The sequence below is a fragment of the Homo sapiens genome, chromosome 15 (assembly GCF_000001405.40).
Source record: "Homo sapiens chromosome 15, GRCh38.p14 Primary Assembly".
Taxonomy (NCBI): domain Eukaryota; kingdom Metazoa; phylum Chordata; class Mammalia; order Primates; family Hominidae; genus Homo; species Homo sapiens.
The window spans coordinates 55623589-55650601 of NC_000015.10; the positions used below are offsets into that span (position 1 = coordinate 55623589).

At 40.3% G+C, this 27013-nt stretch overlaps 1 protein-coding gene across 3 annotated transcripts in view; it reads right to left on the reverse strand.

Moving 5' to 3' along the window:
• PRTG (protogenin) overlaps positions 1 to 27013 on the reverse strand; it is a 131609-nt gene that overhangs the window by 12045 nt on the left and 92551 nt on the right. For 2 of the 3 annotated variants that reach the window (NM_173814.6, XM_017022081.3), the window contains exons 12-18: positions 17525 to 17620; positions 16054 to 16240; positions 14961 to 15088; positions 13582 to 13752; positions 5234 to 5416; positions 3420 to 3540; positions 754 to 919 (exon numbers count right to left, since the gene is read on the reverse strand). In NM_173814.6, the coding sequence (NP_776175.2) occupies positions 754 to 919; positions 3420 to 3540; positions 5234 to 5416; positions 13582 to 13752; positions 14961 to 15088; positions 16054 to 16240; positions 17525 to 17620 (1052 nt within the window). Of the gene's footprint in view, positions 1 to 753; positions 920 to 3419; positions 3541 to 5233; positions 5417 to 5445; positions 7568 to 13581; positions 13753 to 14960; positions 15089 to 16053; positions 16241 to 17524; positions 17621 to 27013 lie in introns of those variants that run through there. The other variant, XM_017022082.3, reaches the window with a different exon arrangement.

Genomic DNA, 27013 nt, shown 5'->3' on the forward strand with positions numbered 1-27013 from the left:
TTAGCTCAGAAGGTAGCCAAACAAAAACAGGCCCCAGGCTAGCCTGGGTGGGACTGTTTGCTGACAACTGATTTATAGCACATTGGTTGTGGGAGCTATTCCAATAACGTACAGTATCTAAAGTTGTAATGTGACTAAAAATAATTTTAAAAGTTATTGTTCACAATGCTTACAACAGCACTATTATTATATATACTGGAAAGGACATGAAGTAACTTCTTCCAATGGTGTTTCTGTACAACTTTCTTCAGCCATAAAACGAAGGATCTTGAGGCACCTATTTAGATGCTCCATATTTTTAAAAATGGCATTCATACTTGGGATGTTCTGATAAGCAATTAAGTTCAACAATCAGCCAAACTAAGTCAAATGGATTAACAAAAAGGTGACCACCCAGTAAATACAGGTCAGTCCAAATTATAGTAAATATAGACTAATGACCATGGTGTCCTTGGTTAAAACAACTTCACTCCATATAATCTCATCTAACTGAGATTATATGTTGGAATATAATATAAATGAGATTATATTATATGCTATATATTATGGCATCTTTCTCACCTTTTATCTATCCTCACCTTTTTCCCCCTAAATATTTTATGTAAGGAATGATCTCGGTAAAATTTCAATATTTCATTAATAAGAGTATTGGTATAATACATTCAACATACAATTTTGGGGGAAGTACATTTTACACACACAGGGAGGAGGAATGGAAGAACGGCTTATGCAGCAAATCCCGCAGCTCAGTACCTTTGCATCAATGAAGCTGTTTGGCATGATCATTGGCATTAAAGATTCTTCATTTCCTACAGCTCCTTCCAGGTTCTTTCCTACCTCATTTCCACTAGCTAAGGAGGCACTGGTACGAGGTAACTGTTGAGTTCCATTCTGTGCCGTCTTGGAAGCAGATGATTTCCTAAAACATTGGCAAGAAGAGGAAGTCTTCTAATTTCATAGAAGATGCAGGCAAATGAACCACCTGGCCTATCAACAAAACTTTGTAAGCAATGCAGTTCTTTAATACCCATTTCTCAAATATTTTTAGAATCGAGTGTTAGATTTTAACTTACTGCTGCAAACTTTTATTATTTGAAGAGGCATCTTTATTTCTTTTTGCCTCGCTGTCTACTTCATCTAAAATTACTCTCTACAAGTATTGTTGCTTATTCATAATTTGTGCAGAAATTACAATTTTTAACTTCTATTTTCCCCTTAAGGTCTGAGGATTATTACACTAGCATAACAATTCACTTTCCAATTAATGATGGTAAATTTAGAGTAGTACTTCAAGATTTAGGCAGTAATAAATGTGCATAAATGTGCATAAATATTTTATTAAAAAATTCTTAAAGTGAGAAACTTGGACAATAAAACTAAGGCAATTCAATACACACAAAAATGTTAGAACTATTTCATTAACATAATGTTTTGAGTAGTATGTTTCCATGTAGAGCTACAAAACATATAAACTGAAAAATCTATGCTAATGGAGGGAGTCTAATGACGGGGATTACCTAAAACAACGTGTATTTGACGTTGATTTTTTTTTAATTCAAAAAAATAGCCTTAATAAATGAAAACAAAACCCAAAATATAAAAGGCTAAAAATAGACAAGTTCACTGAATGCAAGTTACTGCTAAAAATTTAGCCAAAGTCAATCCATAGATGAGATTGCATGACAGAGTTTATAGACACTCAATCCATGTTTATTACATTTGTTTTAACCCTTGTCTAGAGAATCCCACCATATGTCCCGTGGTGTTCTCAGCGACTCAGGCATTTCAGGCACTGTTACTGAAACAGAAAATATTCCAGATAGTAAGAAAAAGCAATCTTCTTGTAAACATGATTAATTGTGTTTTCTTTTTTTTTTTTTAGACAGGATCTCTCACTCTGCTGCCCAGGGTGGAGTGCAGTGCTACGATCATAGCTCACTGTAACCTCAAACTCCTGAGCTCAAATGATCTTCCCACCTGAACCTCCTAAGCAGCTACGACTACAGTCACATGCCCACTATGCTCAGCTAATTTTAACTTTTTTTTTTTTTTTGAGATGGAGTATTGCTCTGTCGCCCAGGCTGGAGTGCAGTGGCACGATCTCGGCTCACTGCAAGCTCCCCCTCCCGGGTTCATGCCATTCTCCTGCCTCAGCCTCCCGAGTAGCTGGGATTATAGGCGCCTACCACCACACCCAGCTAATTTTGTATTTTTAGTAGAGACAGGATTTCTCCATGTTGGTCAGGCTGGTCTTGAACTCCCGACCTCAGGTGATCCGCTCACCTCGGCCTCCCCAAGTGCTGGGATTACAGGCGTGAACCATTGCACCCGGCCTAACATTTTTTGTAGAGATAAGATCTCACTATGTTGCTTAGGCTGGTCTGAAACTCCTGGCCTCAAGGGATCCTCCCACCTTGACTTCCCAAAGGTCTGGGATTACCAAGGTGTGATACCACCATGCCTGCACAAGTGTGCCATTATTATTATTTTTAAACCAAAGGATATTCTTTCTGTTTCTCAAAATACTAAGAAAATGAGGATACTAGGCCGGGCGCGGTGGCTCACGCCTGTAATTGCAGTACTTTGGGAGGCCAAGGTGGGCAGACCATTTAAGGTCAGGAGTTCAAGACCAGCCTGGCCAACATGGTGAAATCTACTAAGAATATAAAAATTAGCCAGGCGTGGTGGCAGGCGCTTGTAATGCCAGCTACTTGGGAGGCTGCAGCAGGAGAATGGCTTGAACCCAAAAGGTGAAGGTTGCAGTGAGCTGAGACTGTGCTACTGCACTCCAGCCTGGGCGACAGAATGAGACTTTGTCTCAAAAAAAAAAAAAAGGACACTAGTCCTCATTTAAGAATATTGGCATTAGCATTGGCTGGGAGCAGTGGCTGATACCTGTAATCTCAGCACTTTGGGAGGATGAGGCGGGCAGATCACAGATCACGAGGTCAGGAGATCAAGACCATCCTGGCTAACACGGTGAAACCCCATCTCTACTAAAAATACAAAAAAAAAAAAAATTAGCTGGGCGTGGTGGCGGGCGCCTGGAGTCCCAGCTACTCGAGAGACTGAGGCAGGAGAATGGCATGAACCTAAGAGGTGATGCTTGCAGTGAGCCGAGATTGCACCACTGCACTCCAGCCTGGGCGACAGTGTGAGACTCCGTCTCAAAAAAATAAAAGAAAAGAAAAAAGAAAAAAAAAGAATATTGGCATAATGTTTTCAAACAGCAAGAAAATAATCTCCCTCTAAAATGAGCACATTTCTATAGCTGTAAGAACTCAGGGAACAATACTGCACATTTATTTTAAAGTAGGAAATCCCAGTTACTCTAAAAGGCACTTGACTTTCATTTGTTTCCTGTGGCTACCGTAATTTAAATGTTTTTCACCTCAACATCTCTAGCAATGGAAACACACCTGGCTTTACTTCGGTATATCAAGATGAGAACACAGATGAGGATGCAGGTCAAGGCTATGCCAACACCTACAGCAATGCCAGTCATTGATTTTTGGTCCAGATGGTAATATCCTGAATAAACTAGAAGGGAAAACACATTTACTCAGAATCAATCAGAAAAATAAATTATTTAATTTATAATTCTCAGGTACTTGCTTTTCCAAAATTTTTCTTTATCTCATAGGAAAAGTTTTGACATTGTCAACATCAAAGCAGAAAGGACACACAGTAATCTTTAATCAGTGATTTCAGAGACAGATTTCTCTTCCAATATTAAAGTTTTTTTTTTTTTTTTTGAGACGGAGTCTCGCTCTGTTGCCCAGGCTAGTGCAGTGGCGCAATCTCAGCTCACTGCAAGCTCCAACTCCCGGGTTCCTGCCATTCTCCTGCCTCAGCCTCCCGAGTAGCTGGGACTACAGGCACCCACCACCAACGCCCAGCTAAGTTTTTTTTTTTTTTTTTTTTTGTATTTTTAGTAGAGTCGGGGTTTCACCGTGTTAGCCAGGATGGTCTCGATCTCCTGACCTCGTGATCCGCTTGCCTCGGCCTCCCAAAGTGCTGGGATTACAGGCGTGAGCCACCACGCCCGGCCCAATATTAAAGATTTTAAATGAGTTTTAGATATATTATTATAGCAATCATGAACATCAATTCATAATTTATAAAACAGGTACAAAACATAGATGTTCCTTGATAGACCCAAGAACAGATTTTATGTCATGCCTTAAAAGCAGATCTGCATGTTGAAGATTAGTTTTCCATTTACATACACTAAAGCAGGGCTTCTCAAACTTTCATGTGCCTGTGAGTCACTAGGGATTATGTGGAAATGCCGACTCTGACTCACTAAGTCTGGGGTGGGGCATGTGATTCTGCGAGTCTACGGAGCTCTCAGGTGATGCCATGCTGCTGGGCTCTAGACTACTTTGAGTGGCAAGGTATTTGAGAAGCCAATATGAGCCTTGCTTTCCATTTCCCCTGATAACACGGTGGCTACGATGGCTACCTCCTTCCTGTTCTTAAAACTGACTGCCCTGTCCTGCTCTTTTCCTCTCTCATTCTCTTTCTAACACACACACATCCCTGGCACCGAATGACCATTCTCTGTGAAGCTACGAGCCCTTAATCCTGCCCTGAGTTCAGCTGGCATTTCCTCCATTTAGAGCAGCCCCTCTTCTCCACAAGCCTACTCCCCCAGAGAGGAGGCAAAGGCAGTGTCCAGTCCTGTGCTACAGGGGGCACCAGCTTTCTTGAGAACACATGGACAGCTGTGATGAGTAGTGTAAGGGTAGCTCTTTAAAGATATTTTTTCCAATTGCTTTTCTGGAGACAGAGAGGGAAAAAAAAAAAAAAAACTTTCTCTCCAGAAAAGCTGTTTCTCTGTGGTGAAAACTCTTAATGAAAACCATGCTCTCTTCTTAACTTGAACACCACAACCACCACTGCTGTTTATTTCTGTGAAACCTCTCAGGAAGCCCACTCCTACCAGTTCATGGCTGATGTGGCTCCTCTGTCTTGGTGGATGCACAGCTGGGAGAAGAAGTAACTGGAAACAGTGATTTCAAAACTGCAGTTGATTCTGAGATAATTTTGCCTCCTTCTAGGAGTATGAGGAAAAGCCATGCAACTCTATAACATCAGAAGCTCATCAGCAACAACTTACGGAACTGAGAGCCGGTTTAGGGATACAGCAATTGTAGGAGCAGAAATAATGTGTAAGGAAGAACACTTTTTTTCTTAAGAAAAATCACAGTGACTACGGCAGTATACAGACCTTTGGCATCAGCAGAATCTAAACGCTTGGGCCTCTGATTTGATTCAGAGGTTTCCTTTGGAAGTACTGCCAGCTCCACAGAATTTGAAAAGGGTCCTTCTCCCACCTCATTGGATGCAGATATCTTGACAATGTACACATTTCCTGCTACCAAGTTTTCTAGCAAAGCCATGGTTATTGCCCCTAGAAATACATCAATTACAAATTAAGTGAACATTTATCTTTTATTCTTTCACTCATATTATACAAACACGTTCCTTTATTTTTAAAAATATTTTTCTGATTATAAAGATGACACATATTGTAGAACATTTAGAAAATAAAAATATAAATAAAATTACAATCTTTCATTGTTAACATTGTAGTGTATTTTGTGTGTGCATACGTGAATATTTGTGAATATATATTTACTGCATGAATTTTTATATATTAGAGTTTTCACTTAACATTGTAGTATGTACATTTCCCCAATATAATCCTTTTCTGTAATTCTATTTTAGGAGTTCTTAAAAACAGTACACATTTTTGTTTGGCTTTGTATATATATATATATATGTGTGTGTGTGTGTGTGTGTGTGTGTGTGTGTGTGTGTGTGTGTGTGTGTGTGTGTGTGTAATGTTTTACTCTTTACATAGATATGAATACAAACAGAATTTAGGACATTTTATTATGGAACATTTGAAACATGCACACGAAAATAATGGTATAATGAACCCAGATTCAATAATTATACTCTTATTTTTTAGAGACAGGGTCTTGCTACATGGCCCAGACTGGACTGGAACTCCTGGGCTCCCCAGTAGTTGGGACTACGGGCCCACTCCACTGTGCCAAGCTTTCAATGATTATAATTGGATTTTTAAAAATCCAATGCAAGAATCTTTTTTTAATTGGGAGTGTTTATGGTAATAGCTGTGACAGGTAATCCTGTTCTTCCTACCTAAATTAGAACAACATGATTATTTTTGAAAGCATGAATATATTTTTACTGGTCTAATTTTTTTTTTTTTTTTTGAGATGGAGTCTTGCTCTGTCGCCAGGCTGGAGTGCAGTGGCATGATCATGGCTCACTATAACCTCCACCTCCTGGGTTCAAGCAATTCTCCTGCCTCACCCACCTGAGTAGCTGGGACTACAGGCACCCACCACCACACCAGGTTAATTTTTTTTTTTTTTTTTTTTGAGACGGAGTCTCACTCTGTCGCCCAGGCTAGAGTGCAGCGGCACGATCTTGGCTCACTGTCAGCTCCGCCGCCCAGGTTCACGCCATTCTCCCGCCTCAGCCTCCTGAGTAGCTGGGACTATAGGCGCCCGCCACCATGCCTGGCTAATTTTTTATATTTTTAGTAGAGACAGGGTTTCACCGTGTTAGCCAGGATGGTCTCGATCTCCTGCCCTCGTGATCTGCCCGCCTCGGCCTCCCAAAGTGATGGGATTACAGGCATGAGCCACCACGCCCGGCCAATTCTTTTGTATTTTTAATAGAGATGGGATTTCACCATGTTGGCCAGGCTGGTTTTGAACTCCTGACCTCAAGTAATCTGCCCACCTCGGCCTCCCAAAGTACGAGGATTACAGGTGTGAGTCACCGCACCCAGCCTGGCCTAATTATTGTCACAGATTCAAGATAAACAGGGAAGAAAATGCACAGTTACGCAGGAACCTCAGAGTACTGAAGACAGGTCTCAGATTAAACTATCAAAATCACCACCAGCAATCTGTGTAAGATCTACTTCTCTTCATAAGCAATTATCATTTGAATTTATACATGACATTTGATATCTAAAGGTATTTTCTCTGTTGCATGACTGATAAGAAAGATTCCTATTTGGACACTGCCATTTCTTAGGTGTCTTTCTGTCCTTGTTCTGCCACTGCACCAAAGTATTTCCCTTACAAAAAAATTCCTACCCTAGGAATTAATTCTAGTGCTAAAAGTGTAATAGAAATTCAACCAGAAAGTTGTTTCAGCACTATGTTTGTGGGTGGATATGCACAGGGAAATCTAGCTTTCCTGTGCTGATTTCATCTCATTTTTTCCTGACTCAGGGCAACCTTACAATAGCTTCAAAGAGTTTACAATAGTTTGTGACAGTTGCCTCCTGGCCAAAGGTACCTACTCCAGTGCACTTGCTGGAATATATTTCATTAGGCAAATGAAACATGGGGTGATCATAAAGCTGAGGTCATGAGACGGAGGCCATCTCTGCAGGTCACACGGTGTGAGGCAGCCAAACCTCCAGCAGCGATGCCAGGAGCCAGAACACAACTTGTTTTCATGTTCTCTGGTTTCAGCTTGGCCTGAAGAGAGTGTGAGCTACTTGAGTACACAACTGTTCAATAAACAAAGTGACCCCTATTTAGAATCAGGAAGAGTCTTTCCACTGTTGCTATGTTTTTAGGCAGAGGAATTAAAAAAACAAAGATGTATTGTGACATGTTACACTTAGCTGAAAGGAAGAACATTTCCATGTCTTCACAAACAGATATAAATAAATTGAGTTTCCATTTTATGGTAAAATGCATTTAATTTTAAAAAGTACTTGGCAAAAACTAATCACTACCAGAAACTAAGTCTTTTCACTTAATTTGTTTTATACAAGGACCAGCAGTACATGTGTGCACGCATTCCCCTTTTCCCCCAAAAAGTATCTTCATTTAGAAAAAAGGGAAACTATAACATTCTGGTTCCCCTATGAGGACACTCAAAGCATTTCACAAATACTGAAGTGATCTCAGTGATCTGTCTATATTCTCTCAACAGACTTCTCAATCTTAATTAGTGTGATTATTTCCGTCTCCTGCCTTTTATATGTGTCTGAATCTTCAGTCAGACTAGGAATCTTACAAGCAAGACAGTATAACAGGCTAATTCACATCAGTGCTGGTCAAATCTCGTCATGTAACCAAGCGAGCAATTTCTAACTTGGGGCACGTTACTGAACTGTACTTTCCTCACGGAGACAATAGTTCCCACCTTATATAATTATTATAAGGATTAAATAAACTATTATTGGCAAGTATCTGACACAAGTGTAAATAAAAGTGAGTTTTCTTCCTTTACCTCCGACTCCTCTTCTTCCTCTTTTGGAAGACAGAAAACTTTTTTTCATATTTGGACCATAGTGTCCATTCAAATTATAAAAGCAAAAGATTTTGGGGTTGGAGAAGTGCCCCAGGATACAATCTCAGATTTTTCTCTCTTCTGTCCACATGCTTATGTGATTTTTTTTCCAGATCCACAGCCTTAAACATCACCTATACATTGATAACTAGATATATCTATAGTCCAAAACTCTCCCATAAACTTAATCAGCCTCTGCTTAATCAGCCTCTCTGCATGGACAGCTAAGACACATCTCAAATTTCACACTTTCAAAACCAAACCCTTGATTTCTCCCAGTGATCTGGCTTCTGTTTTTTCTGATGCCCCACATCAATCTACAAGCATATCTGACTGGCTTTTTTTTCTACTTATGTTCCAACAGCTTATTACTTTCACCATTACCACTCCTGTCCAAGCCCTCATCAACTCTCACATGGACACCTGCCTATGAAATGGTCTCCTAGCTTCCACTCTTACCTCCTTACAATCTACTTCTCAGGTGGCTGCCAAAGCAATCCTTTCTCAACGTAAACCTAATCAAAGGTCTCCAATACCTTCCTCTCTCTTAGAATAAAATCTATGGCTCATGAAATCTGGTCTACATCTGCCCTTAGTTACCTCCCTACTTCATTTCTTACTGCCTGCTCTTCCCCTCACTCCAATCTCCTTGGCCTTCTTGCTGTTCCTCTAACATGCCAATGCACACTTCTGCCTCAGGGCCTTTGCACCTCCCCCAGATATCCACAGGGTTATGTTTGAATGTCATTTCTTCCGCAGGAACTCTTTTACTATCTCTATCACTTTGTCTCTTTTCCCTATTGTAACTGTCTTTATAGCATTTATGACACTACTTGAAAATGTATATATTTGTTGGTTTGTTACCTGTGATACAAGCTCCAGTGGAGGTAGGGACTTTGTTTTGGTCACTGCGGTACTGCCAGTGCCTAGAATAGAGCCTGGCACATAGTCATCACTCAGTAAGAATTAGTTTAGTAAAAGAAAATGTTCCTACTATTGGTGGTCCAATTCATTTGGCAAATGTTGAGTTAAATGGATTCCTTTATTACAAGATTGCTAATTTCCAGTGTGAATCTCTAACAAGAGGAAAGGTATATGGTATTCCTCCAACTTATTTAACCATGATGAAAATTTTTTGAAAGAGGGGCATCTTTATGATATCAGTAAACTCATAAAGGACAGAATTCATGAATTGCTGAGACAGAACATAATTTCCTCCAGTGCTTTTTAGATTTAAAAAGAATTGAGCAGTTTGTGCTGATTTACTGCATATGAGGAGGGTAAAGGCCTGTAATCTTTTTTTTTTAATACTGAGTGCAGTGGCACGATCTCGGCTCACTGCAACTGCTGTCTCCTGAGTTCAAGCGATTCTCCTGCCTCAGCCTCCCGAGTAGCTGGGACTACAGGTGCATGCCACCACGCCCTATAATTTTTTATTTACTTTAAATTACATACAAGTATAATTTCATATGATGTTTCTGCTCAACTATTGTACTACCATGTACCATTTTAGCCACAAGTATTATATGCTCACCAGAAACATTTTTAAATGTTTTGATTCACAAAAACTACCTTGTTCCATTTGTATTAAAATATGTGGATTAAATATATATGTAAATATGTATAAACCTAATGAGAAACTGACACTCTCCCTATTCTTTTTTCCTTCATCTTTTTCTATACCGTACCTTTTCCAAAAGCTGCCATAATTATACATAAAAGACATTTTAATTTTTCTTTAAATGCCATGTTATATTCCTTGCTTTTTGTTTAAATGTGAGTCAAACTGTTTTTCTCTCTCAGAAAAGTAAACTCAGTTGCTTTTTACTGATTTATTTGTTCTCTATGAATCATTGGCCTTAGCTACGAAAAAAGTTCTCTGCATTTAACAAATGACAAAAGCTTTTCACAAATGTTTCTTAAAACCACAACAACTAAGAGAATATTTTTCCTGTGCACTATTATATAGCTAGAAAGGCTTATACAGATGTAAAAATCTGTAACTGTAATCCCTTTCACTACTGAGCCATCAATGAGACAAAATACTATTTTCTGAGCTCTGTTCCAAAATTACAAATGAATACATTTAAAAGGAGCCAGAACAAAATATACATTGCTTTTTTTTTTTTTTTTTTTTTGAGATGGTGTTTCACTCTTGTTGACCAGGCTGGAGTGCAATGGCATTATCTCGGTTCACCACAACCTCTGTCTCCTGGGTTCAAGTGATTCTCCTGCCTCAGCCTACCTAGTAGCTGGGATTACAGGCGCCTGCCACCACGCCTGGCTAATTTTTTATATTTTTAGTAGAGATGAGGTTTCACTATGTTGGCCAGGCTGGTCTCCAACTCCTGACCTCAGGGGATCCACCTGCCTCAGCCTCCAAACTGCTGGGATTACAGGCGTGAGCCACTGCACCTGGCTCTATACTGCTTCTTTTTAGGCAGGTGCAAATGAAGAACTAAAAGAAGTATGTGTTCATGCTATCAAAATTCTTTATTAATACTTACAACACCTCATTAAATCAGGTTAGTTATTTGGTTAAGTGCTGTGTCAATAAATCATTTTGGACTTGAATGACTGAAACTAAATTATACATTTTAAGAAAACTGTGAGGCCAGGCATGGTGGCTCATGCCTGTAATCCTAGCACTTTGGGAGGCTGAGGTGGGCAGATTGCCTGAGCTCAGGAGTTCGAGACCAGCCTGGGCAACACAGTGAAACACCCGTCTCTACTAAAATACAAAAAATTAGCCAGGCATGATGGCGTGTGCCTGTAGTCCCAGCTACTCGGGAGGCTGAGGCAGGAGAATGACTTGAACCCAGGAGGAAGAGGTTACAGTGAGCCAAGATCCACTGTACTCCAGCCTGGGCAACAGAGCGAGACTCCGTCTCCAAAAAAAAAAAAGAATACTGTGGTAGACTGTAATACTGAGGGCCCCAGTGAATTACACCCGCATCGATTCACACCCCTGTAGCCCTCCCAACACTGGTTTCAGACTTGGCCATGTAGCTTACTCTGCCCAATCAGACATTAGCGAATGTGAAGCAAGCAGAGGCTTGTGAAAGCTTTGTATGTGGGGCTTCCTCTCTTCTCTTCCTGACTGGGGAGCCCTCTGTTGTTGGTTCTGGGTGTGTGTGTGTGTGTGTGTGTGTGTGTGTTTTTTGAGACAGAGTCTCACTCTATCACCCAGGCTGAAGTGCTGTGGCACAGTCTCAGCTCACTGCAACCTCTGCCTCCCTGGTTCAAGCAATTCTCCTGTCTCAGCCTCCCGAGTAGTTGGGCCTACAAGCATGTGCCACCATGCCTGCCTAATTTTTGTATTTTTAGTAGAGACAGGGTTTCACCATATTGGTCAGGCTGGTCTTGAACTTCTGACCTCGTGATCCGTCTGCCTCAGCCTCCCAAAGTGCTGGGATTACAGGCATGAGCCACTGCGCCCAGCCTCTGTCTTGCCGTTTTTAGACTACTCAGAGCCTATCAAAACTGTAATATGGCTGCAGCCTCGTGAGAGACCAACAGAACTGCCAAGCTGATTTCAGTCCAAATTGTTGACTCAAAGAATTGTGAGAAAACAAAATGGTTATTTTAAGTTGTAAATTAGTTTGTTAGGCAGCAATAGATAACCGATATAAACATAAAATCATATTGCTGCCAAATACTTAGTACTTTCAAGTCCCTTCAGTGACCAGGAAATCATTACTTAGTGGGGCTTCCGCTTAATGAAAAATACGAACATGCAACGATCAAAACTCCAGGTAAAGTCATCATCTGCTTATTTTAAAACTCATAAGAGTTTTATATTACATGAACATAAATATCTTTTAAATTTATCTTCTTAATTGGGTAAATATTCCTCTTGAAAAGTACAATGTATGTGGGAGTGCCTAGTACTGTACAGTGTATAGAATATAGTGTATAGGTGGCCACTACATTTCCTGCCTGAAATTCTTCTTCAGCTTTTTATTGGTTGGCAAACTACTCTCTTCTCAGAATATATGTCTAAATTAAGGAAGTGCCAAAATAATGAAGTTTTACTATTTATGTGATGGCCCATCTAAAATCTGGCAAATGTGACTTGTCCAACTTAAAGATTCAAGATTTAGGCTGGGCGTGGTGGTGTGCATGCCTGTAATCCCAGCTACTCAGGAGGCTGAGATTCTGTCTTAAAAAAAAAAAAATGCAAGATTTAGAAAAGGATATGATAAAAGTATGCAGTAAGAAACCTAAAAACTTTGTAATTCAGTTTTTCTCAACTAAAAAAAAATTACTCTTTAAAAAATTAAATTCCGTGTTCTTAAGCCCTAATCAGCTTTTCCCTGTATTTAAGAGGACTCTAATATTCATACGGGTCAATTTTTTTTTTCATATGTGGACCATTTTAGTCCCTTTAGCACTACTAAGGTCTTCTCCCTTCAATCATATCTCCTTCCAGTGTTTCCTTCTCCTTGCAAGACACACTATCAGAAACCTAAGACTCATCCATAACAAATCTCCCTTCCTCAATCTTCTCTCCCTTCTATCATCCAAGCTATCAAGTTCTATCAATTTTAACTCCCAAATACCGGCCAACCATCCTATCCTTTCCATCTTAATCCTCACTATCCTAGTCCAGGACTATCACCTCTTTCCTGGACGACTACGGTAATTTCCTAACTAGTCCATTTGCATTACTCTAATCTCCAGTTGGCCTCAACCAAACCTCTTTTTTTTACCCCCCCGAGACAGAGTCTTGTTCTTGTTGCCCAGGCTGGAGTGCAATGGTGCAATCTCAGCTCAATGCAACTCCGCCTCCTGGGTTCAAGCCAATTTCCTGCCTCAGCCTCCTAAGTAGCTTGGATTACAGGCGCCTGCCATCACACCCAGCTAATTTTTGTATTTTTAGTAGAGATGGGGTTTCACCATGTTGGTTAGGCTGGTGTTGAACTCCGGACCTCAGGTAATCTATCCGCCTCGGCCTCACAAAGTGCTGAGATTACAGGCGTGAGCCACTGCGCCCGGCTATATCTCTTCTATTAACAAAAGTAACAGTAACCTTTTTGAAATACAAACTATTCTTAAAATTGGTGGATGGCTTCCCGATGCCCTTTGAACAAAGCCAAAATCTTTTATTACTTCATACATAAAAATGTAAATTCAAAATAAACTCTAGATTCCCCTTTCCTTTTGTTTCTTTAATATTAATAATCGTACTTTTCACCCTTCATGGCAATTTATGATATTTACCTTCACGGTGTAAGACCTGCCACTCTCCTGCAATCCAGGCCTTCCTAGATGCATATAAGATAGTATAGCGGGTCACAACTGTTTCTGGGCCATCAGGGGGTTTCCAAGAAACCAGGGCAGTGTCATCCTCTATTAATGTCACTTTTACTCCAACTGGTGGGCCTGCTGGTGCTGTGCAGACACAACAAAACATTGTATTAATATAGTAAAATGGTTCATAAATACTCAAATACCTGGCTTATAGGCTTAGAAAAAAGTTCAAAAAATTAGAAACCTCCATAAGAAATCACAGCTTTCAAAGATCATTAGTGATAATACTAAAGTACCATTTTTCTTCTTGTATTTTCATAATACTCAAACATTAAAACACATTAGATTCCTAGATGGAGAATCTAAGTTAACGGGATAGCATTTTTAAGGTTCCTGAAACGTTTTGCTAAATTGCTAACTAGAAATGTTTACTTCCACAAACAGCACCTGTCCATCAGATATTGGGTTTCACCCCATTAGTACTGATAGTTCTTACTAACATGTATAGAACATCAACTTAACCTGATCTAGGAGGCCAGTGAAGAAAATGCTCCTGACATTAAAACATTTAGTTATTCCTGGAAAAATTGTGAATCAGTGAATTTACAGGGCAGACTTACATCTAATAATATATCTGTGAAAAACAGTAAAATCTTGGAATTTAAGTTGACTCCATGTTTAATATAAGCTAAAAGTGTGAAGAGCTGGTTTTTAACACATCTTATATGGAATATTGCCAAAACCATAGCAACAAAGTCCTATGTTCACTGTCATAAATGTCCCTTACTTTCTCTCTGTATAATTAAAATAGAGCAGAAATGATGCTTATATAATAGATTATCTAGTCCTTCGTCCTCATTCTAGAGATAAGAAAATGTTGGTCTAGAGACATAAAATATCTTAGCTAGAGCCACAGATAAGCTACAGAATTGGTGCTCAATCCGATATACAAATTGCACTGTGCACACTATCAAGCTGCTATTCATACAGAAATAACTTCATTATAACGTTGGCTCCTAAGATCATTAACAAACATATTATTCACTTACCGCCATTTAAAATTTTTTGGCTGCAAATTTGAACAGCACACCTGATCTTTTTTTAAGGTTTCTAAAAGGACACTAAATTTAAGCCTACGTGCTTGCACAATACACACACTGAGAAGAAAAAATTTAAATAAAATAAGGAAAAAGAAATTTCAAAAGCCAAAAAATGAAACAAAACAAATACATATATCAAGTGGTAGGTGGCAACTAGGGTAGTATCCTACACAGAATGACATACATATTTTTAAAACATTTCCTTAATTTTTTTTAAAGATAAAATCTATAGGGAGCTGTTTTCTTTACCTTCTGGAAGAGTAGAATGGTAGACTACAGGGCTCCAAGGACTGGAAAGCTGATCCACATGTAATCGAACGGCAAATTCGTATTTGGTGTTTGGTTCTAGACCTTGAACCAACATGTGAGTTTCTGATCTATAATAACGAGTGATGAAGTTGTTAATGCTGGTAGTATAATATTGTTTGTAAAAGAATGTCAGCATTTCCAAATAGGTAAGGGCATAATGTTATTTTTCATTACCTCCTTATTTTATATGAAAAAATGTTTAGACTAAAGAACAATTTAATTGGACTTTAAAAAATACTACATTTGGTATTGTCCTGTAGAAATAAGCCTACTAGTTGCCTCTCTTTGACAGTAAACTCGAAATGTCCCAATACAAAGGGATTTCCTCTGAAATACTGGAAGTCAAATCATTCATTCATTCATTCATTCATTCATTCATTCATGATGAGGTCTTGCTGTGTTATTCAGGCTAGAGTGCAGTAGTGGGATCATAGCTCACTGCAGCCTTCATCTCCTAAGCACAAGCAATTCTCCTGTGTTAGCTTCCCAAGTAGCCAGGACTACAGGCATGCACCACTATACCTGGCTGATATAAAAAAATATTTTTGGAGAGATGGGATCTGGCTATGTTGCCCAGGCTGATCTTAAACTTCTGACTTAAGCAATCCTACCACCTCAGCCCCCCCAAAATCATTCTTTTAGAGCACCGTGATGGGCATCTTTCTTAACTCTAACCTAGAAACAGAAAGACAACTGGCCCTACTTTTTGACTGCCAGCATGAAAATAGTCTCCTTTCTTTCTTTAAACATGCTCAGTTTAATCACTTGAGAGTAATAATAGCTTCTTGCCTAATCTTGTTGCATGAGGCAAGGAAAATTTAAAAATCACTTACATAAATTAAATGTCAAAAAGTATGGTTTTCAGAATATGGTAAGGATGCAAAACTCCTAGCCACTTCATAAATAACTTAAGTCCTGAAACAAATGCTTACAGGTGAAGCCCGAGCTGGGCCCAAGATGGTAAGAGGTAGAAGTTGGAGTGGGGGTGTGGTGAGGTAAGCAAAGAAAATAACCATTAACAGGAGCTACATACGTTTGAAGGTACAGAACCAAAGAAGCATTCTGCAGGCCAACAGGATTACAGCGGATGGTGTAGTTAATGATTTGTGCAGCGGTGAATGCAGGCCTCCTCCAGTGCAGGAAGATGGAAGATGAGGTGTTAGCCTTCGCATAGAGATGGTGGGGTGGTGGTGGAGGAGGGACCATGCGATCACGAACAGCTATTGAGAAAAACAATGTTAATTTACGATACGACATAACATTTTAACATAGAAAGTGGTAAAATGGTAAAATAATAATATCCCACCCTATAAGTTGATTTTAGGTCTTTCTTCCACCAGAGATTCATAGTGATCTAGAGATGTATCATCCAAACCTAAACAGCTCTTCCGTGAGTTATATAAGAAGTCAAAAACAGTCATGCATCACTAAAGAACAGGCATACATTCTAAGAAATGTGTTAGGTTTTTCATCAGGGGATTTCATCATTCTGTGGCTGTCAGAGTGCAGTTACACAAACCTAGATGGTATAGCCTACTGCACACCTGGGCTTTATGGTACAGCCTATCACCCATAGGCTATAAAACTGTATAGCATGATATTGTACTAAATACTGTGGGCAACTGTAACACAATGGTATTTGTGTATCCAAACATATCCAAACAGAGAAATGGTAACAGGTTGCTCTATGAGATTGTAACAGCAATGTCATAGGTGATAGGAATTTTTCACCTCCATTATAATTTTATGGGACCACTGTCACATATGTGGTCCATTGTTGACAGAAATGTCATTCTGCTGTGCGTGACTATATTACTGATAACAGATTGGAAGGCAGAAGCACAGAGAAGTCAGGCTACTAGCCAAAGACACTGAGAAAACCAGTGGGGGACTTAAGACTAGAACATCCTTCTTAGGAGCAGTACAAGTGAACAGCAATTGGAGAGAAACAGCCTCGAGGGAAAAGCAGACTTTAAAAAATTTGGTATGTAGATATTCAGTGGTTATTTTCCTCAGTTAAATGTCTAATGGTCTTTTGTATGCAAAATGAAAATAGGACTTATAATTCAATATATCTTACTTAAATATTTACTGAGCACCTATTTGTTTAAGATACTTTAGCCAGGTGCGGTGGCTCACGTCTGTAATCCCAGCACTTTGGGAGGCCAAGGCGGGTAGATCACTTGAGGTCAGGAGTTCGAGAACAGCCTGGCCAACATGGTGAAAACCCCGTCTCTACTAAAAATACAAAAAAAAAAAAATTAGCCAGGTGTGGTGGTGGTGCCTGTAGTCCCAGCTACTCGAGAGGCTGAGGCAGGAGAATCGCTTGAACCCGGGAGGCAACAAACAAACAAACAAAACAAAAAAACTACGCTATACAGCACAGAGGATAGAAATTAAGCCACCAAAGCTTCCAAGTAGTAGTGAGACTGTAACTTAAAGGAGGAGGAGGAGAAAGAACGGTGTGAGCCATAGTAAAACAAACTGCCATGGCTTTCACTTACACACGCATCCTGGAGTGCTGACAGTCTGATCTGCCTGATAGCCATCGTCTATGTTGTTGTAAGCCAGGAGTCTCACATGATATTTTCTTCTGGGGTCTATAAAGAAACCAATAGGAAATAATTAGGACCAGGTCTCTAGATCTGAGCAAAGGTTCTGAATGAAGCCTTTATAGATTTTGGTTTAAAAACCTGCTGAATGCATAAAAGTTCTCAGTAATATAAAATTACTGCTCATTGACTCAGCAATCCACCTTCGTATGACACTGCTATTGTGACTATCTACCAATAATTTACAATTTTACTTTACTTAATCTAATTTCAAACAATAATACTACCACAACCACTTCTTCTCCTTTCTCTCCTCTTCCTTATCCTCTTCCTTAAGTGGCAGATAGATTCTTGATTTTAAAAGCCTTCAGTTTGCTTGATGGATCACTTGCAAGAGGTTACACTTTGTAGAAGTTTTTCGTTTAAGCAGTTATATTTGAGGGCCGTTTACTTCAAAGTATGGAAATCAAACTGAGATTGTTTTATTCCAAAAAGTTAAAGAAAATTACAATTGTCATTCTTTAGTACCTTTGAAAACTTATATAACCATGTTTTGTTTAAGTTTTAAGTTTAAATGTGTCCTTTCTACAAACCTACATTCTCAAGTGCGAACTTCACCAAGAAAGATGAGTTGGAGCTCCCTCTACTGGTGTTTATTAACTATCACGATACTAAAACTAAAGTCCATCTAATACACCCTAAAACAATTTTTTTCAGGGCTTTGAAAAAATAGGCCGGGCGCGGTGGCTCACGCCTGTAATCCCAGCACTTTGGGAGGCCGAGGCGGGTGGATCATGAGGTCAGGAGATCGAGACCATCCTGGCTAACAAGGTGAAACCCCGTCTCTACTAAAAATACAAAAAATTAGCCGGGCGCAGTGGCGGGCGCCTGTAGTCCCAGCTACTCGGGAGGCTGAGGCAGGAGAATGGCGTGAACCCGGGAAGCGGAGCTTGCAGTGAGCCGAGATTGCGCCACTGCAGTCCGCAGTCCGGCCTGGGCGACAGAGCGAGACTCCGTCTCAAAAAAAAAAAAAAAAAAAAAAATAGTTATACATTTCAACTCACATAATTTAAGAAATAATCAAGAAGTTTAATAATAAAAATACATTTAAGTTAACTGTTTATGATGACATTTAAATACAGAATACTTGCTCAGGGCAAAAATATACAACTCAGGCTGGGTGCAGTGGCTCATGCCTGCAATCCCAGCACTTTGGGAGGCCGAGGCGGGTGGGTCACCCGAGGTCGGGAGTTCGAGATGAGCCCTGCCAACATGGTGAAACCCCATCTCTACTAAAAATACAAAAATTAGCCGGACGTGATGGCACATGCCAGTAATCCCAGCTACTTGAGGAGACTAAGACAGGAGAATCGCTTGCAGTGAGCCAATATTGTACCACTGCACTCCAGCCTGGGTAACAGAGCAAAACTCCATCTCAAAAAAAAAAAAAAAAAAAGGATACAACTCAAAAATAATATATTTGTCTATTATACTTCTCTAAATAATAAAAAACACAAATAAATTCAACACTTCATAAGGGAAAACAGTAATCCTTAATAGATATAACCAATCTGGAAAACGACGTGAAATTAAAGGTTAAAAATAATTCTAGAGTGAATCCAAACATTTAAAAATCTAAAAATAGAGGATGGGTGCAGTAACTCACACCTGTAACCCCACTACTTTGGGAAGTAGAGGACAGGAGTTTAAGACTAGCCTGGGCAATATAGCAAGATCGCATCTCTATAAAAAATAAAATAAAAATTAGCTTGGTGTGGTGGTGCATGCCATAGTCCCAGCTGCTCAGGAGGCTAAAGCAGGAGGACCAGTTGAGCCCAGGAGGTGGAGACTGTGGTGAGTTATGACTGTGCTACCGTACTCCAGCCTGGGCAACAGAACAATGCCCCATCTCTCAAATAAACTAACTAAATAAAATTCCAGAATAAAATATAAAGTTTATAAAACTCTCCAAAGTAGTATGTTTGTATAAATATTTTAGAAACTGATATTTTCTAATATTTAATATTAAAATTCATTGAAAGAATGTTCTAAATATTTTCATTTCCATTTGTCTTTTCAAAAAACCACAAGATGAAAAATTTCTGAGACTTAGAAAACTTCTAACCTTTCTAGATAGAAAGGTAAGAAGACTAACCTAGCATTTGACTATCCTATAGAAAATGTCTTTTGGATACATCCTCTTATTTGACTATCAGAAAACACCATAAGGTAGATGTTATATCCATTTTATGTGTAAGCTGTGATACCAATGTTTCTTTTGTTTGTTTTCTGAGAGAGGGTCTTACTCTGTTGCCCAGGCTGGAGTGCAGTGATGCAGTTATAGCTCACTGCAGCCTCAAACTCCTGAGCTCAGATGATCTTCCCACCTCAGCCTCTCGAGTAGCTGAGACTACAGGTGCACACCACCACACCTGGCATTTTTTGTAGAGACAAGGACTCAACATATTGCCCAGGCTGGTGTCCAACTCCTGCACTCAAGCTATCTGCCCGCCTTGGCCTCCCGAAGTGCTGGGATTACAGGAATGAGCCACTGCAGCAGGCCTTCAAAGGTGTTAAGGAGAATGTCCAATATACATGAAGCTGAACCAAGAACTTGTTATTTCCGTGACAAAGTACAAGACCTCTAAATTTACACAAATACATGTGCCTCTGTCAAAAGAAGTTTGTCTCCTAATAATAATGATTTTTTTTTTCTTTTTGGACACTGGGTCTCACTCTGCTGCCCAGGCTGGACAACAGTGGTGCAATCATGGCTCATTGCAGCCTTCACTTACCTGGGCTCAGGTAATCCTCCTACCTTAGCCCCCCAAGTAGCTGGGACTGCAGGCACACACCACCACACCTGGCTAATTTCCCCACGTTGGTCAGGCTGGTTTTGAACTCCTAGCCTCAAGCAATCCACCTACCTTGGCCTCACAAAGTGCTGGGATTACAGGTGTGAGCCAGCACGCCCAGCTGAAAAATACTTCTTCATTCTGTCTCTACTTAATTAGAAGAGGGTCTTTAGGAAAGCCTCCAGAATATAAAGGTATTGTGCCAGAATACAGGAGATACAGAAAAGGAAGGATAGGACAGATGTGTCCTCAAAGTAGATCATGTTCTCCACAGGGGGCCAGATATGAATACAGCTATTTCACAGAGAAAGCTCATTTTGATGAGGGTTATGAGTGTAGGTGGAGAGATAATCTTTTTTCTACCATGCAAACAACTTCAATCAATACTGCATGAATACATTCCTGGAATGGTTCCATTTGTTAGCCCTAAAATTGATTCTTCAAGTTTTCCCTTCTTCCTTTTTAAAAAAATAAACTTCTTATACTAAATTTTAAACCCAGAATTAAACTTTTCTGTTGGTCAGACAGAAACAGCTTATGTGTCCCAAAGAGATCAGAGAACCGAGTTGCTCCTTTAATGCCCCAAGCACTTGGCTACTGCCCACTCAGGACAGACTCACATAAGCCCCATGAAAGGAAGAGCAGTTCCCCGTCTCCTATGTGGAAATCATCAGGGAGTAACTGTCTCAAGGACCAGGTTCCTTCCCATGTTATATCAGGCGTACAAGATCCTTTCTATCCAAATAGAAAAGTTTAAAATACACACACACTCCCAGAATAAATTCTGGAAATTATTTTACTAGAAAAAAGATTATAGGACATAGGACATACTATATGGAAAAAATAAAGGAGTGAGAAACCCCACTTACATTTTTCATAAGTGAACTACTCTTTATGTTGTCCTGTGAACCATTTTTAAAACTATAAAGTACCAGGTTAGGGGCAAAGCTGAGCAGCGGACAATGTGGATTTACCACACCTTCCTCTTTAGCTTTAACAAATTTGCCTTTGATCTCAAAATCTAGTCATAATATTATTTTGGTTTATTAATCCAGAGACCCTGGAATATCCTGGTTCATTCTTGTTCATTAATTTTTCAGAAATTTGACTTCATGTTTGTAAATTTAAGAGTGGAAGGGGCCGGGCGCGGTGGCTCACGCCTGTAATCCCAGCACTTTGGGAGGCCGAGACGGGCGGATCACGAGGTCAGGAGATCGAGACCATCCTGGCTAACACGGTGAAACCCCGTCTCTACTAAAAATACAAAAATTAGCCGGGCATGGTGGCGCGTGCCTGTAGTCCCAGCTACACGGGAGGCTGAGGCAGGAGAATGGCGTGAACCCGGGAGGCGGAGCTTGCAGTGAGTCGAGATCGCGCCACTGCACTCCAGCCTGGGCGACAGAGCGAAACTCCGTCTCAAAAAAAAAAAAAAAAAGAGTGGAAGGAGGGACTAGAGCCCTCAAATAGTGTTAAGATAAACATCACCAGGCAGTAAGAGTGATCAGCTAAAAAAGAAAACATAGAACAGCTACAGAATTAACAGAACTAAGGATATAGGGTAAAAAACAGAGTTTAGGACCAATATGTTAAATACACGTAAATACACAAAGAATGAACCTCAGCATAAGCAGCAAAAGTCAAGTCCTAAAACTTCATAGTTCTGCAAAGACCCTCCAACGCCTATGGGACAAACCAGAGACCAGGGCCAACACTGTAAAATGCCACAGGGAACCAGTCCCAAGGCCTGTTTCAGCCCTTCTTGTGTTAAGCACTGCCACGTATGTAGTGCTTGGTTACATGAGACTCAGCGGACTTAGGCTATGTGGTTTTTGGGGGAAAACAGCAGAGTTAGAAAGAACAGCCACAAACAGGGCAGGCCTCCTCAAAGCCCAGAAAGGGAAGGAGGAGAAAGGGAAGACAGGGAGAAGTTGGTTCTAGTTTGTTCAAAACTCAACACAAGGTGCATAAAAATCACTCCTCAATTTATTATTTATTATTTTTTATTTTTTTGAGACAGAGTCTTGCTCTGTTGCCAGGCTGCAGTGCAGTGGTGCGATCCCAGCTCACCGCAACCTCCTCCTCCCGCATTCAAGCAATTCCCCTGCCCCAGCCTCCTAAGTAGCTGGGAGTACAGGCATGCACCACCATGCCCAGCTAGTTTTTTTTTTTTTTTTTTTTAGTACAGACGGGGTTTCACCATGTTGGCCAGGATGGTCTCAATCTTCTGACCTTGTGATTCACCCGCCTTGGCCTCCCAAAGTGCCCGGATTACAGGCATGAGCCACTGTGCCCAGCCTCACTCCTCAATTCTCTTTTTTTTTTTTTAGGACGGAGTCTTGCTCTGTCGCCCAGGATGGAGTGCAGTGGCACGATCTCAGCTCACTGCAAGCTCCGCCTACAGGGTTCACGCCATTCTCCTGCCTCAGCCTCCCAAGTAGCTAGGACTACAGGCGCCCGCCACCACGCCCGGCCAATTTTTTGTATTTTTAGTAGAGACGGGGTTTCACCGTGTTAACAAGGATGGTCTCGATCTCCTGACCTCGTGATCCACCCGCCTCGTCCTCCCAAAGTGCTGGGATTACAGGCGTGAGCCACTGCACCCGGCTGTCACTCCTCAATTCTTAATGGTTCTGGGGTGATGGCTCAAATGGGTAATATTTGAATTTAGGGTTAAACTTGCTTAAAGATTTAGCAATATATAAAGATGAAGGGTTAGGAAAGAAAGCTCAAATTAATCTAACACAAATTTGATTCATAACAGTACAGCTCTGAACTGTCAGCTTACATTTACATTTTGTCCCTAGCCAAATGTACTTTTCTTTTATTAGGGAGTCACCCTTTGGCCCAAAAATGAACATCTTCCTGACACACTGCTATGGCTGTACTCTCCATCTTCTCCCTGCTGTCCCTAGGACTGGTCTAACCCTCCTTCCAACCTGATTCATTCTCATCACCAGCTCTTCTACTTGGATTATTAGTCACATAAAGAAGAGTCAGGCTGGACATGGTGGCTCATGCCTGTAATCCCAGCATTTTGGGAGGCCGAGGCAGGTGGATCACTTGAGACCAGCTTGGCCAACATGGTGAAACCCCATCTCCACTCAAAGAAAAAGGAATAGCCGGGCGTGGTGGTGGGCGCCTGTAATCCTAGCTACTTGGGAAGCTGAGGCAGAAGAATCGCTTGAACCCAGGAGGCAGCTGTTGCATGAGCCGAGATCACGCCATTGCACTCCAGTCTGGATGACAAGAGTGAAACTCCGTCTCAAAATAAAAAAGGAAGAGTCAGAGCCAGAAGTCTGGCTGGCTAAGAAAGAGTTCACAGGTATCAATAAACATTTATCAAGAGCCCACCAAAAGTCAGGCACTGCATGAGAGACTCAAGGACTAGAAAGACGCAAATTTTACTTTAAATTTCAATCTACCAAACAGGCTGATAAATGAATATTCTATCTGTAGGTATTATTTACCCCTAACAGTTGTATAGACTTGAGCAAGTTTCTTTCTTTTCTAAGCCTCATTTATTTTGACTTGGAAGATGGAAATGTAACAGGACGTCTCTGATAGGGATTTTAAGAATATTAAATGAAATCATGCCTATGAAGTACTTTGTAGAGTTCCTATAATTAATAAACACACAATAAATACTATATTGTTGCCATGTGAGTAAAGGTGCCTGGGAGAAAAGGTAGTATCAAAAATATGGCAAACTTAACACATTTTGGAATCAACTTTGTGAAAGCTTATGAATATCAAAGATCTCTGTTCGTTCATACAAACAAGATCTAGAGAACAGAATATCCGCAAATTAGCAATTGGCAAATACTGAAGCTCAGTTTAACCACTCTCTGTTCTCCCTAATATTCTCTGGTGTATAGAGCAGGCAGACAAAGGTTCCCAAGTGTGTGTTGGCTTGCGTATACTATTGAAACAACTGTGTTTTGTGTTTGTGGCCACTAAGAATGCTTGCTGCTTTGGCAACCATGTCACATGGTATATATTCCTTCCAGTGGTATATCTACCTTTACCCACATCTTCCATATTGATCTAATAATCTCTCATCTGCCAACAAAGAAATGGCCCTAATGATGATAAATGCTTTGGAAAACAATAAATTCCTTTTGTAGTGGAAGAACAGTAAGTCATTTCATTAAAGGGAAATCTGGAAGAATTTGAGGGCAAGTATTAGAAACAGCAAGCACATGGACCCAAAAATTAATTCAATCTGTTATTAATAATTATATCCCATTTTTACAATGAGGTGTTTCTTATCCTCAATGACCAGACTCAGAACAAGACAAAGGCCTATAAAATGAGACTCTCTAATGCCAAAATCTTTTAAAGTTGTACTCGTCAACAACTTGCTTAATTCCATTCTAACTGCATATGATCTAACAATAATAATGCATTAACTGTATCTCTGTGCAACACCTTAAGTAACCTACACTGAAACATATTTCTAAACACCACACAACAAAAAACCCCATGCCTTCGTCCGGCATTTTACTTGAAAAACTTGCATTTCTGTTCTCCATCACTAGATGGCATCTGTGTACCTGTTAGGAGAGTGATGACCCACTCATCCAGGTGCTGAGGTTGGGAGATATTCAGAAAACAGCTGAATTCTAGTATCTGAGTATCTGATGAATGAACAAATCAAAACAGTTATGCATGAACTATGGCAATTGCTTAAGTTTCACCAAATGAAAGTCCTGATGAAATAGCAGTAAAAAGAAGGGCTATCTTGGATAAGTATTTGCCATACCTATAAATATTTCATATAAACTTCAAAAACCTCTGTATTGGCCGGGCACGGTGGCTCACACCTGTAATCCCAGCACTTTGGGAGGCCAAGGCGGGCGGATTATGACGTCAGGAGTTTGAGACCAGCCTGGCCAATATGGTGAAACCCCGTCTCTACTAAAAATACAAAAATTAGCCGGGCGTGGTGATACGTGCCTACAGTCCCAGCTACACGGGAGGCCAACGCAGAAGAATCACTTGAACCCAGGAGGCGGAGGTTGCAGAGACCCGAGATCACGCCACTGCACTCCAGACTGAGCAAGACTCCGTCTCAAAAAAAAAAAGAAAAAAAACAAAAACAAAAAAAACCCCTCTGTATCAGTTTTGCTTCCATGTCCTCTACAGTGAGTGGATGCTGAGCCAAATAGAAGACAACATTCCTAATGACTCAGTGCTACTAAGAAGCTAAGAGACAGCCTAGCATAGTGGTTAAGAGCTGGGATATTAAACCCAGGCTGACTGGAATTCCAACACTAGCTTGGTCATTACTATGAAACTTGGAGAAGTTATTTTTTCTCTCTGTACCTTGGTTACAATCACCTGTAAAATGGGTATGACAATGATAACAGCATCCATCTCATGAGATGTTGGGGAGGGAAAATAATTTAATTCCATGAAGTGCTTTAAAAGAGGGCTTGAGTACAACAACAACAACAATAGTAATATACTAATAAAAATATCAATAGTAGTGGGGCACGGTGGCTCACACCTGTAATCCTAGCACTTTGGGGGGCCAAGGCGGGTGGATCAGTTGAGGCCATGAGTTAGAGACCAGCCTAGCTAACATGGTGAAACTCCATCTCTACTAAAAATACAAAAATTAGCCACGTGTGGTGGTGAGCACACAAAGAAAGTAATTCCAGCTACTCGGGTGGCTGAGGCACAAGAATCGCTTCAAACTGGGAGGTGGAAGTTGAAGTGAGCTGAGATTGGGTCACTGCACTCCGGCCTGGGAGACAGAGCGAGACTCAGTCTCAATAAATAAATAAATAAATAAATAAATAAATAAATAAATAGTAATAATATAATTGCTATTAGCATCCTATGATTCCTAATCCCTGCTCCCTCTCATGTACAAGTGCAGGGTGGTGTAGTAATTGAACAACAGACTCCATAACCACACTACTTGGGTTTTGGGTTTGAATCAAGTTTCGTCATCTATAAAATGTGGATTAAATGAGTTTATATTTGTAAAATGTTTAGAAAAACATCATAGGTGTCTTTTAGTGCTAAATGACTAAATTTAAGGGAGAAAGCTGGTTTGGGAATTTGGAGATTTGGATATAAATCTTAGATTAACACGCTGTGTGGCTATGAAAGTTGCTCAGTCTGGTGGAGTTCAGTTTTCTCATCTGTACGATTAGAAAGCTGACACGTTTGTCAGTGTTCTCAAATTTCTTTAGATAACAACCTATTGGGGAGCTAAGACAAAAAAGGGTAAATATAAGTACCATCTAAGATAGGAATAACCGCTGCAAAAGAGATGTGTTAAACTCTAAGGGCATTCACAAGAGAGAACGATTACCACTTACTTGGAGAGTGGGCAGGGCTTCACAGAGGAGGTGGCATTTGAGCAGAACTTGACCCTACAAGAAGCATGGGGAAGAAGAGATCTAGGCCAAGGGAAGAGTATAAGCAAAGGTGTGGAGAGAGGAGCACATTCTCCCTGAGAGAAGTCACAGGGAGGAATTCAGATTTGCAGCAGTAAAGGGTATTTTATGGGGGAGGGTCACACAGAAAAGTGAGGCTGGGGACAGATCACACAGAGCTTTGAGAGCCATTGTGG